This window comes from Homo sapiens, chromosome 15 (assembly GCF_000001405.40).
Source record: "Homo sapiens chromosome 15, GRCh38.p14 Primary Assembly".
Classification (NCBI taxonomy): domain Eukaryota; kingdom Metazoa; phylum Chordata; class Mammalia; order Primates; family Hominidae; genus Homo; species Homo sapiens.
In genome coordinates, this window is record NC_000015.10 from 68,385,866 (window position 1) to 68,399,476 (window position 13,611).

At 39.1% G+C, this 13,611-nt stretch overlaps 1 protein-coding gene across 2 annotated transcripts in view, besides 1 other annotated feature; it reads right to left on the reverse strand.

Annotated features, from left to right (window-relative positions):
• The window catches only part of ITGA11 (integrin subunit alpha 11), a 135,632-nt gene that overhangs the window by 89,334 nt on the left and 32,687 nt on the right, over window positions 1-13,611 (reverse strand). The window lies entirely within an intron of this gene.
• Window positions 4,125-4,419: a silencer, noted in NCBI's record as "tiled region #14581; HepG2 Repressive non-DNase unmatched - State 22:ReprW". NCBI's record gives its function as "represses a minimal TATA promoter and a strong SV40 promoter by Sharpr-MPRA in HepG2 cells {active_cell/tissue: HepG2}" and the evidence as "EXISTENCE:reporter gene assay evidence [ECO:0000049][PMID:27701403]".

The window sequence follows — 13,611 nt, forward strand, 5'->3', positions numbered from 1 at the left end:
AATGATTTCTCAGACCCCTCCCAGGCCTGGGGAGGAGCTGCAGCTGACGGAGCAGCCCTAAAGGCCAACCCCACCCACAGGCCTGAGTGGTCCACCTGCGCCTCCTGGGCCTGTCTCCAGCCATTCTGTCCCTCCCCAGCCCACCATCATCTCTGAGAATTGGGGTCTTCTGAAGATCATGGGAATGGTGGCCCTGTCTTCAGGTTATGGGGCTCTCCCCTCTGCCTGGAGTCTCCACAAGTAGAAGACACTGTATCTATAGAGAGGTCCCCAAGGAGAGATGGGTATTAACCTGATCAACCTATGCCAGGTAGGTCCATTCCAGCCCTGGTCCACTTCAGGGGCCATGGCTGCCCATCTGCTGTGTCATGCCAAGCTTTGGGGGTGGTAGTGGTAGTGGTGATGGTGGGTGTTGGCAGGATCTGCACTTGGCCATGGTGGATGATTTGCTTCTAAGCCAGGCAAGCTGCTGGGTCTCCCTCCCTACTGCCTCGCAGTCCATCCTCAGGACACCCAATTCCACAGCCCTTTCCATGTCTGGCCACACAGTGCAGAGTTAAGTTGCTGCAAAATAATCCCAGAGGATCCTTCAAAGAGGCGGGAAGGCTGCCCAGGACCCTTTGTGACTCTGGGGAGTCAGGCCACCATGTCTGTCCCTCCATGGCTGAGGGCGATGAGAGTGAGGCTTAAAATGCTCCCTTTTTCCCAAGAGAAGCTTCTATTTCCCATTAGGACACCCCAGGATTCAGGAAACCGAGGCTCCGGTCAGTTCTGCAGGGGGCAGCCCATCTCCCAACTTCCTTTCTCTCCTGCTCCACCAGGATCCCCTTTCTCCTTTTTCTCCTGGTCCAGGGACCCTCCCTCTGGCTGCTCTTGTACCCTTCTCTGTGCACACTCTCCTTGCCCAGCCTTGGGAGTCTGCAGGCCCACTGCTGCAGGTGGGTGCTGGGAGCCTGGATGGGGCTCTTTATCCTTCCCTCCTCTCGTGGGTACAAGACAGGCTGATGAGACTAAAGACACTGGCAGCTGCTGAGAGAAGCAGGGAGAGGTGGGACAGGGCAGCCTCCCTTCGCCTTGGCCGCCCCCTCACCCCCTATCTCACCCATGTCTATCAGAGACTCAGGCGAGGGAGTAAAGAGGGGAAGGAAGAACGAGAAGGGATGGGGGAGGAGGGGATGAGGGGGAAAGGGAGGAGAATGAGGAGAAAAGATGAGAAAGTAAGGTGAGAAATCTGGCAAAGTGAAGGAACAGGGATGGAAAAGTAGAAGAAGGTAGGGGAAAGGATAAGAGGGAGAGAGGGAAGGGGCCTCTGGGTGCATTACAAGAATGAAGTGTGAGCAGATCGCCTCAAAAATAGCACCTTCTGTCCTCCCCACTTCACCTCCAGCCCCATCTCCGCTGTCTCTGGGCTCTCCCTGGCCCCACAGATGGAGGCATCTACACGGTGATTCTGCCTCTGCCTGCTGTAACCAGCTTAAGACACTGGGAATGGCAACCGCTAAGTGTGTGGTTCTCAGAGTGTGCTTCCCAGACCAGCAGCACCAGCACCACCTGGGAAGTTCTAGAAAAGCACATTCCCAGGCCTCACTCAGACCTACTGAATCAGAAACTCTGGAGGTGGGTTCCAGCAATCCGATTTAGCAAGCGTTCCAGGGATGCACGCTAAGGTTTGAGAGTCATTGCTGGACAGTAGTTCATTCCAGACTCTTTACACATGACACACATGACAGTAAAGCCTTGCAGAGACTGGAGATTTTCTGTGTGTGTTAATGTATATTATAAACATTCCCTTACATCCGCTGGGCTCCAATCCTGGTAGAGGCTGCCCAGTGCTGTGAGCTGCCCAGCCCGGCCCCTTCAGCTGCTTCTAGGAGAGGCACTCCTGGCTGCTGCTTTCCCTCCTAGAGCTGGAAGTCCTTACGATGCTGCACCCACCTTCGTCTTCCTCACAATCCTCTCCTCTTCTGCCCCCGGACACAGCACCTCCTCTGACCCTTCTCTCTCCGCCTTCTCTTTCTCCTTCCTCCTCATACCTATGGACGTTCTGCAGTCTGTCGTTCATCCCAAGCCCCGCTTCCTTCTCCCTGCTGAATGGAGCTCTCCTGATGCACATGTGGGTCTCAGCCCTAATTTCCCTGCCAAACTGAAGGCCCCCTCCCCTGCACCTGGATGGCCCTTGGATCCTCCAAACCAATGAGTCCAAAGCTCAGCTCACCTGAACTTCCAAAGCCTGCACCCTGTTGCTGGATTTTGCTTTTGTGTAAAGGATACCACAATCTTCCTAGTCAGCAAGATATGTCCTCAATCATCCTGCAGCCTCTTGCATCTCTGAACTTGCCTCCTTCTGCTCTTGCCCTAGCTCACTCTACTCCAGCCACACTTGCTGTTCCTTGAACATCTCAAGCATGCTCCTACTTCACTTGCCATTTGCACTTGTCATTCCTTCTGCCTGGAATTCCTTCTCAGATAACCATGATTCTCTCAGATTCTTCCTTTCCCTCATGTCTCTAATGACTATCATCCTGTCATGGCGGCATCCTAGACAGCCTGTATAAAGTTGAGCCCTCAATTCAACCACTGTTCCCAAGCCCACTTACCCTGCTTAATGTTTTTCCATGGCACAGATAACTATCTGACAGATGATGGACAAACTAATCATACTTTTTGCCCCTCCAGAAGAAAAACTCCATCAGAGCAGAGACCTTGCAATTCTATTCACCATTGAGTTTCCAGAACCCATTACAGGTACTCAAGAAGTATTAATGGAATGAATGAATGAATTACTGCTGCTCATAAAGCATGCCCCTTTCTCAAGCCCCCACCCCTTAGCTTGAGCATCCTCTTTGCTCACCTAGACTTCTACAGCCTTCCCACTTGACTCCTCACCTCCAGGGTCTCCTCCCTCGATTCCATCCTCCACATGGTAGCCAAATTGATCACCAAAATTATAACTCTGGTGAGCCACTCTCCTGCTCTAAAACCTCCAGTGGCTCCCTATTGCCTCCCAAGTACAGTCTCTTCACTCTGCTATTTAGGAACTCCATGGTAGGATCATCACTCTCCCAGCTTTTGGCCTTACTTCTCTGCTTTTTGTACCTTCTCCTCCAGCCACATGGGATGGCGTCCTTTCTCTAAACACAGTTTCTTCTTTTCCATCTCTGTACTCTTTCCCATGCTGTCCCCTCCATCTCTGTACTCTTTCCCATGCTGTCCCCTCCATCTGCTGTACTCCTCTCACCCATGTGTACTCTGAACATTGGAATCCTATCCACCTGGAAGCCTCCTCCTTCACAATCCGCTCTCAATTCCCTCCACCCCCACAGCCTCATGCTGTTGGAAATTAACTCTCTCTCCCATGAACACCTGAGATCCTTTTTGTGTGTCCCTCCTTTGGGATTCATCTGAGATCGGGGTTCTGTGAACATACGCCTTCTGTTCCAGGTTGGGCAGCACTTGATCTCCCACCAACCCACTTATGCAAATACACTTAGTGCTGGGCCCTGTGGACACCACAGCCTCGCTCTCATGGGGCCAGCAGCGTGTCTGGGGAGGAGCATGGCAGCCCTGGGGCAGAGGCTGCTTCTGTTCTGTGTCCCCTTGGGGCTCACCAGGCTCCTGCCCTGAGGCAGAGGGACTAGAGAGATCTGGGCTCCAGTCTTGCCTCTACCTCTGACACTTATTAATTATGTCATCATTTGGAGTCTCAGTTGCTTTGCCTGTAAAATGGGGACAAATCTACTTCCCCTACAAGTTGCTCCTGTCTGTACACCTGTACCCAGGGAATTCACCATGGTCTCTTGATCTTAAAGCTCACCATGTCCCTAGAGAGTCCCCTTTTGGAGCTCACTGGGGACTGGCAGTCTTCTGCTCCCTGGCGCCCTCATGGAGAGGAGGAGAAACGTTCTGCCTTGCTGAGAGCTGAGGCTTCTCTTCTCTCCTCTCCAGGGGTGAGAGCTTCAGTGAAAAATGGGATACTTGTGAGGCCCAGCTCTGTTTTTTCTCAGCATCAGGAGGCTTCCTGCTTCAGGGGACCAAAGGCTCAGAGAGGCCCTCTGCAAGCCCTGCATTGGAGCTGCTGGGACATCAAATGGTCTTAAAACCCACGGAATTAATAATTTCAATGTAAATGCGATAGTCATGTGGATTAAATTTCTCTGAAAATACACAAGGGCTTAAAAAGCAGGGGCAGAGAACACTCAGCCCAAGAGGAATTTGTTTTCTCTTTCCTTTTTGTGTGTCTGCGAGTGTTGTTATTGTTGCTAGAACCAGGGGATGTGGAAAACTGTTCAGGATGTCTGAAGCGTTGGTGTATGGTCAGCTTTGCTGAGTTTGAGCTCTGAGTTGTGAGTGAGGTGGGAAGAAGGAGAAATGTTAAGAAAATAAAGTGACTGCCCCACCAGGTCTGCCCTCTTATCCTCCAACTGTTTACTGCGGGCCCTTGACGTTCAAGGAGGCTTACGGCTGGTAAACGGGGCATATCTCACTGGTGCCTGAGGTGGGAGTCAGCGGTGGATTCTTCCCTGGGGGCAATGCTGGGACCTGGATTTGGGGGCCGGGGCTGGGGAGTGATGTTCTTTCTCACTGGAATCTGTCTTACATGCTCAGTGGAAACAGCGGATCCTTGGGGGGTTACAGTCTCCCTGCTAGAGTCCCCTGGGAAACTCTTTCAAACATGCAGCTTCCTGGCCTCCCCCACAGCCCCAGGAGATGCAGACCAAGGCACGCAAGCTCTGCCTGAGGTGTCGGAAGCCAGGTCCATACCACAGAGGCAGGAAGAGCCTGGGTCAGAGGGAGCCTCTCAATCAAGTCAGCAGTGGCCTGCAGTGACTCAATCCTCGTTTCCTGTTTTACTGATTACAAAATATAATCGTGTTTTGGGTATTCTTTGATCCTGCCTAGCTCCCTGGGACAGGTATGCTCATTCCTATTTTACACATGGGCAAATAGAGGTTCGGGAAGGTTGGCAGAGGTTCTCCCAAGGTTCTTCTTCCACGTGGCAGAGGCTTCGCACTTCAAACCTTTGCTCCTGTCCTTCCTTTGAGGTTCACCCTGGCACAGAGCTGAATCAATACATCCCACTGGGGTCATGCTTAATAGTCAGCCAATGTCTCCTAAATGACACTGGCATCAACCTCTCCTTTCTAGGATCAACACCCATAGGGTCCTAGGTCTGAATCAAATTCTTGGAATGCTGCCCATACGACAGAGAAGATGGGGCCAGAAGAGGAAGCAGGGAGGGGAAAGCCAAGTAGGATTTGTGGTGGGATCCACACAAGTGGGAACAGAGATTCTAGAAAGGCCCAGTGTGCTCCTGTCCATTCTGGAGGGGGCTCAGCTCTCGGGGTCCCCAAGGCCACCCTCTCTGTTTCTCTCAGCTCGGCTGTGGCAGTAACATGCTCAGGTCCAGTGGCTGCAATGGGTGGGACCCTGCCCACCTGGGGCACCATTTCTCTCCCACAATGCTCCAGGCTGCACTCAGATAAGCAAAAGCTACCAGGAGTTGGTTCTGTCATATCTTTCTGCTCTTCTATGCCCAACCTCCAAGATCATGTTCAACTGCCCTCTTCCATGGAGCATTTCCAGAGACCCCAGGCACAGTGATTTCTCCTTTCAGAGTCTGGCTGGGTTTCTGCTGTGAAGATGATGCTGTGTTGGCTGCTCTTGGGCTGCAGGGAGATGAAGCTGGTGTCCAACAGGGGAGATGGGCCATGGGCCTCAGTGACTCCAACAAAAAGTGGGAAGTGATATGTGTTATCACAGAAAAGGCTTGGGGAGGGTAAGGTCATTTTAGGCTAGGAAAAGGATTCAGAAAGCCTTCATGGAGAAAGTAGCCTCAAAGATGCATGTAATTAATACCAGGTCATATTTGACTTGCATTGGTTTTAAATTATTTCAAGGGTATTAATGTTGCCTCCCTAACTGGTCTGTGACTTATTTGAGAGTGAAACCACGTTTTACTCATACCAATATTTTGCCGAGTCTAGTAAAATTCATTAACAGATGCCTAATAAACAAATATTGGTCAAAATAAATTCTGTCTTGGAAAAGTCAGTTCAACTTAATTTTTAACCTTTCATACCATGTAAACAATATGGATGTCATGCATCTTATGTCTGGGCTGGTTGAAAGAGGCTCAAATCCTTAATTCAGTCTGTCAAAGTAAGTTCTTTGAGCACCTACTAAACACCAGGAATTATACCGCTGATTTCAGGAAGTAAGATAATGATACAGGCAATTACTATTCAATTTGATAAGTGCTATGAAAAGAGAAACACAGAATTCTATGGGGGCAGCTTATGTAGTGATGGGAAGGGATAGTCAGAGAAAGTTTCTCAGAGGAAGTGATATCTAAGTTGATAAAAAGAATATGAAAGAGGGCTTTCAATTCTAGCCATAAACAACTATGTAAACAGCACAAAATATCTAAAACAACTATTTTCAGGCACTGGACAGCAATCAAGGCAGAGCTCAATACTTGTAAGAAGGGAAATACAGAAGCTGAAACCCTGTTCACCCCAGCTTTTCCTCTGAGGGCATTTTCTTTGCTGAAGCACAGGGAAATGGATGCAGAGAGTAGAAGTCTTGCTGGATGGAGGAAATAGGGATTGGAGTTGGGGCTGCAAAGATGACTAGGATTTGGGAAGGGCAGCATACCAGAAAGGAGAGAACAACAGGAAAAGAGTCTCAAAAGCTCTGTTGAAAGTTTCCCTCAGGTTCTTGGCTGACTCCTAAGCTGTGTATGCATAGTATGATACACTGGAAAATCTATCAGAAAACAGCCAATGGGAGCAGAGATTTTAGAGGTTGCCTCCTATTCTGGGAGGAAGGTGTTGGGGTTCATACCCAGTCAGAAAGGAGAGACCTTAATGAATACTCTGGGATTTCATTTGAGACCCCAGAAAATCTATGCTCTAAGAGTAAAGACCACATCCTAGGAATAAGGGCAAAACTGTAACATCCACAATATTCACAATATTTACAAAATGAGTAAATAATCAGGAAAAAATGGATAACCATGAGATAAAATAGTCACCAGAAGCAGACCAGAGATGATCCAGATATTGGAGTTAACCAGCCAGGACTTCAAAATAATTATAATTAATGTGTTAAAGAAAATAGAACAAAAGATGGACAATTGGGATCAAGACAGATTATTGTGACAGAATTAGAATCTATAAAAAAAGAATCCAGTGGACATTCAGGAGCAAAATAAAATATCTGTAATAAAGAGTATATCGAATGGGTTTAGCTGCACAATGGATACAGCAGAAAGCTGGATTAGTGACCCTGAAGACAGATGAATAGAGGATATCTAAATTGTAGCACAGCAAGAGAAAAATGGAATAAAAAACTGAACAGAAATATGAGAAATATGGCGAGAAGGCCTAACATACACACAATTCAAGTTTAGAAAGAAAAGGAGAGAAGAAATGGGACAAAAGCTATATTTTTAAAAATGAAGGTAGAGAATTTTCCAAATCTAATTAAAAGTATCAATGCAGATTCAAGAAGCTTTGGAAACCCTATGCAGAACAAATACAACAAAACTACATTTAGATACATCATAGTCAAACTGCTGACATTAAAGGCAAATAAGAAAGCAACCACAAGAAAATGACATATTACATTCAAAAGAATGATAAAACTGATGGTTGACATCTCAACAGAAACTGTAAAGCCAATAGACAATGGAATGACATTTTAAAGTGCTAAAAGAAAAACTAGATAAGAAATACTTCAAAAATTAAGGTGAGATTAAGATCTTTTCAGACAAACGAACAAAAACAAACAGAAAACCCAACTCCCAAGGCTGAAAGAACTCTTGTTAGCAGACTTATACCACAAGAAATACTAAGTAGAGTTCTTTGGCTGAAAGAAAATTATCTCAAATGAGAGCACAGAATTATATAAAAGAGACGAAGAACACCAGAAAGGGTAGCTATGTGGATAAGTAGACATAAATATTAACAACTTAAAGCAACAATAACAATAATGTCTTGTGGAATTTATAACATGTGCAAAGGTAAAATATATGACAAAAATAACACAAAGGACAGGACAGGGGACTGGAATCAAACTGTCGTAAAGTTATTGTGTTACTTAGAAAGTGGTAAAATACTAATTGCAAATAGATTGTAAAGCTGTGTTAGAAATGAAAATGGAGATATTACGACTGACACCACAGTGGTATAAGAGACCATTCAAGACTACTATGAACATCTATGCAAACAAACTAGAAAATCTAGAGGAAACACATAAATTCTTGGAAGCATACAACCATCCTAGCTTGAATCAGTAAGAAACAGTAATTTTGAACAGACCAATAACAAGCAGTGAGATTGAATCAGTAATTTAAAATATTGCCAACAAACAACTAAGATTTTAAATTATACAGCAGCTCTCTTGACCACCATGGAATTGAATTAGAAATATAATAGAAAGACAACTAGAAAATCTCCAAATATTTGGAAATTAAAAAACACATTTCTAAATAACCCACGGTCCAAGGAAGAAATCATGATGAGAATTAGAAATTATTTTAACCTGAATGATAATGAAAACATCAAAATTTGTAGGATGCAGCTAAAGCAATGTTAGAGGAAATATATAGCCTTATATGTATATTTTAGAAAAGAAAAAGGGTCAGAAAATCAACAATTTAAGTAAGAAGCTAGAAAAAGATAAATTAAATAAAAAAATGGAAGAAATAATTAAAATGAGAATAGAAACCAATGAATGAGAAATCAGGGATTCAATAGAGAAAATCAGTAAAGCCCATAGTTGATCCTAGAACACATTAATAAAATTAATATGCCCATAGCAAGACTGATAAAAAATAAGAGGGACAACACAAATTACCAAAAAGAGAAATGAAAAAGAGGATATATAGATCTTATAGACATTGAAAAGATAATAGGAGGCTAATATGAATATTTGTGGATAAAATTTGAATGAAATGTACAAATTACTTGAAAAACCCAAGTTACTAAAATTAACACAAGAAGGAGTAGCAAATCTGAATAATCCATTATCTTTAAGAAGTTGAGATCCATTCCAAGATGGCCGAATAGGAACAGCTCCAGTCTGCAGCTCCCAGCATGATCGATGCAGAAGACGGGTGATTTCTGCATATCCAACTGAGCCTCCACTGGTGATATCCAGGCAAACAGGGTCTGGAGTGGACCTCCTGCAAACTCCAACAGACCTGCAGCTGAGGGACCCAACTATTAGAAGGAAAACTAACAAACAGAAAGGAATAGCATCCACATCAACAAAAAGGACATCTACACCAAAACCCCATCTGTAGGTCACCAACATCAAAGACCAAAGGTAGATAAAACCTCAAAGATGGGGAGAAACCAGAGCAGAAAAGCTGAAAACTCTAAAAGTCAGAGCACTTTTGTCCTCCAAAGGATCGCAGATCCTCACCAGCAATGGAACAAAGCTGGATGGAGAATGACTTTGACGAGTTGACAGAAGTAGGCTTCAGAAGGTTGGCAATAACAAACTTCTCCGAGCTAAAGGAGCATGTTCAAACCCATCATAAGGAAGCTAAAAGCCTTGAAAAAAGGTTAGATGAGAGGCTAACTAGAATAAACAGTGTAGAGAAGACTTTAAATGACCTGATGGAGCTGAAAACCATGGCACAAGAACTTAGTGATGCATGTGCAGCTTCAGTAGCTGATTCGATCAAGTGTATCAGTGATTGAAGATTAAATTCATGAAATAAAGTGAGAAGACAAGGTTAGAGAAGAAAGAGTAAAGACAAACAAAGCCTCCAAGAAATATGGGACTATGTGAAAAGACAATGAGATCACTTGGACATAGGGCGGGGAATATCACACACTGGGGCCTGTTGGGGGGTGGGGGGCTGGGGGAGGGATAACAGGAGAAATACCTAATGTAAATGACGAGTCAATGGGTGCAGCAAACCAACATGGCACATGTATACCTATATATCAAAACTGCACGTTGTGCACATGTACCCTAGAACTTAAAGTATAATAATAATAACAATAAAAAAGAAGTTGAATCTATAATGAGAAATCTTCCCACGAAACAACCCTAGATGCTGTACTAGTGGATTATCCTAAACATTTAAAGAAGCAATAATACAGATCTTATGTTCTACCAGAGAATAGAAAAAAATGAAAACATTTCTTAGCACATTTTATGAGCTCTGAATAACTGTGATACAAAAACTTGATAAGGGTATTTCCAAAAAGAAAATTTACAGGTCAATATATCTCATGAAACAAAACAGATACAAATACCCCAACAGAAACAAAATTCCTGAGAATATATACATGGGAGAATACGTGGTGACCAAATGAGGTTTATCCCAGGAATGCAAGTTGGTTTAATAGTTAAAGAAAATATCAATCCAATCAATCAATCAATCAATCAATCAATCAATGTAATTAACCATATTAACAGAATGAAGGAGAACCTTATGTCAGGTGTTGCAGAAAAATCATCTGATAAAATTCAGCACCTGTTCATAATTTTTAAAAAAACCAACCTTAGAAAGCTATGAATAGAAAAAAACTTCTTTAATCTGGAGTTATCTACAATAAATAAATGAATAAACTAGAGTTAACATCTTATTTAATTATGAAATATTGGAAAATTTCACTATCATAGCAGAAATAAGAAAAGAATGTTCAGTATCACCACTTCTTTTTGACCTTGCACTGAAGATCTTAGCCAGTGCAATTAGAAAAATAAATAAAGGTAGGAAAATTGGAAAATAATAAACAAAACTGTAATTATTTCAAATGATCTGATTGTATATGTAGAAAATCCAAAGGAATCCAAAAGGGAGTTATTAGAAATAATAAATGACTTTAGTAAAGTTGCTGGATGTATTGTAAATATACAAAAATCAATTGTATTTTTATGTACTAGTAAAAAAGATTGAAAAATGAAATAAGTATTTCATTTGTAATAGTATAAAATATAAATATATAATATGTAATAGTATAAAATATAAACACAAATATATTTATATTAAATATAACATATTTATTACAATATGATTTATTATATATTATTTATTATATAATATATAATATATTATATATTATTTATTATATAATAAATAATATATTATATATTATTTATTATATAATATATAATATATATTACTTATTATATAATATATAAATTATTTATTATATAATATATAATATATAAATTATTTATTATATAATATATAATATATAATATATTATTATTATATAATATATAAATTATTTATTATATAATAAATTATTATATATTAATTATTATTTAATATTTTAAATTTTATATATTATATAATATATTATATATTATATATTATATAATATATTATATATTATATATTATGTATTATATTATATTTTATAAAATATTATAAAAATATTAAATTAAAAATTTTAAAATAATATTATATTATTTATTATATAATATATTATATATTATTTATTATATAATATATTATATATTATTTATTATATAATATATTATATATTATTTATTATATAATATATTATATATTATTTATTATATATAAATATTAATATAATAATAAATTAATAAAATATAAAATTATTAATATTTTAAAAATATTATAAAATATTTTAAAATAAAATATTTTAAAATATATTTAAAATATTATAAAATATTTAAAATATTATATTTAAAATATTATAAAATATTTAAAATATTATATTTAAAATATTATAAAATATTTAAAATATTATATTTAAAATATTATATTTAATATATATTTAAAATATTTTAAAATATATATTATAAAATATTTAAAATATTATATTTAAAATATTATATTTAAAATATTATATTTAAAATATTATATTTAAAATATTATATTTAAAATATTATATTTAAAATATTATATTTAAAATATATTTAAAATAATATAAAATTATTAATAATAATATTATATATTATTATATAAATATTATTCTATTTATTATAACATTCTTAAAGAAAAGAATCTTCAACCCAGAATTTCATATCCAGCCAAACTAAGCTTCATAAGCGAAGGAGAAATAAAATACTTTACAGACAAGCAAATGCTGAGAGATTTTGTCACCACCAGGCCTGCCCTAAAAGAGCTCCTGAAGGAAGCACTAAACATGGAAAGGAACAACCGGTACCAGCCGCTGCAAAATCATGCCAAAATGTAAAGACCATCAAGACTAGGAAGAAACTGCATCAACTAACCAGCAAAAGAACCAGCTAACATCATAATGACAGGATCAAATTCACACATAACAATATTAACTTTAAATGTAAATGGACTAAATGCTCCAATTAAAAGACACAGACTGGCAAATTGGATAGAGTCAAGACCCATCAGTGTGCTGTATTCAGGAAACCCATCTCACGTGCAGAGACACACATAGGCTCAAAATAAAAGGATGGAGGAAGATCTACCAAGCAAATGGAAAACAGAAAAAGGCAGGGGTTGCAATCCTAGTCTCTGATAAAACAGACTTTAAACCAACAAAGATCAAAAGAGACAAAGAAGGCCATTACATGATGGTAAAGGGATCAATTCAACAATAAGAGCTAACTATCCTAAATATATATGCACCCAATACAGGAGCACCCAGATTCATAAAGGAAGTCCTGAGTGACCTACAAAGAGACTTAGACTCCCACACATTAATAATGGGAGACTTTAACATATTTATTATAATATGATTTATATTAAATATAATATAAATATAAGTATAAATATTTTTATGGTATAAAATGAATAGTATAAAATGAAATAAAAATATTTTATTTCTAATAGCATAAATGCAAATATGAAAATATATTTACATTAAATATATATTTATTATGATATAATTTATATTAACTGTAAATATAACTATATTCATAGTATAAAATGAAATGAATAGTATAAAATGAAATAAGAATAGTTTATTTTTAATAGTATAAAATATAAATATTTTATATTTTATTAATGCAATAAGAGATGTAAAACTTACACTGAATATTTCAAAGCATTATTGAGAGAAATTTTTAAAAACTGAATAAATGGTAGGATATACATGTTAGTGGATTAGAAAAAATGTTATTAAGATTTCATTTTCCCCTAAATTTATCCATAAAATTGAACGTATAAATTCAGTATAACTCCAATAAAAATCTCAGCAAATTTTGTTGGAGGAAAATTGACAAGCTGACTTAAAAATTTATATGGAAACATAAAGGATCTATCATAGCTAAAACAATCTTGCCAAAGAAAAACAACCCCATTAAAAAGAGGGCAAAGGACATGAACAGACACTTCTTAAAAGAAGACATACAAGCCGCCAAGAAACATGGAAAAATACTCCACATCACTAACCATCAGAGAAATGCAAATGAAAGCCACAGTGAGCTATCATCTCACACCAGTCAGAATGGCTATTATTAAAATGCTCCAGAGTAACAGTTGTTGGCAAGGCTGTAGAGAAAAGGAAATGCTTATACACTGTTGGTGGGAATGGTAATTAGTTCAGAGTTTGGAGATTTCTCAGAGAACTAAAAATAGAATTACTATTTGACCCAGCAATCCCAATTACTGGGTATATTACCCAAAGGAAG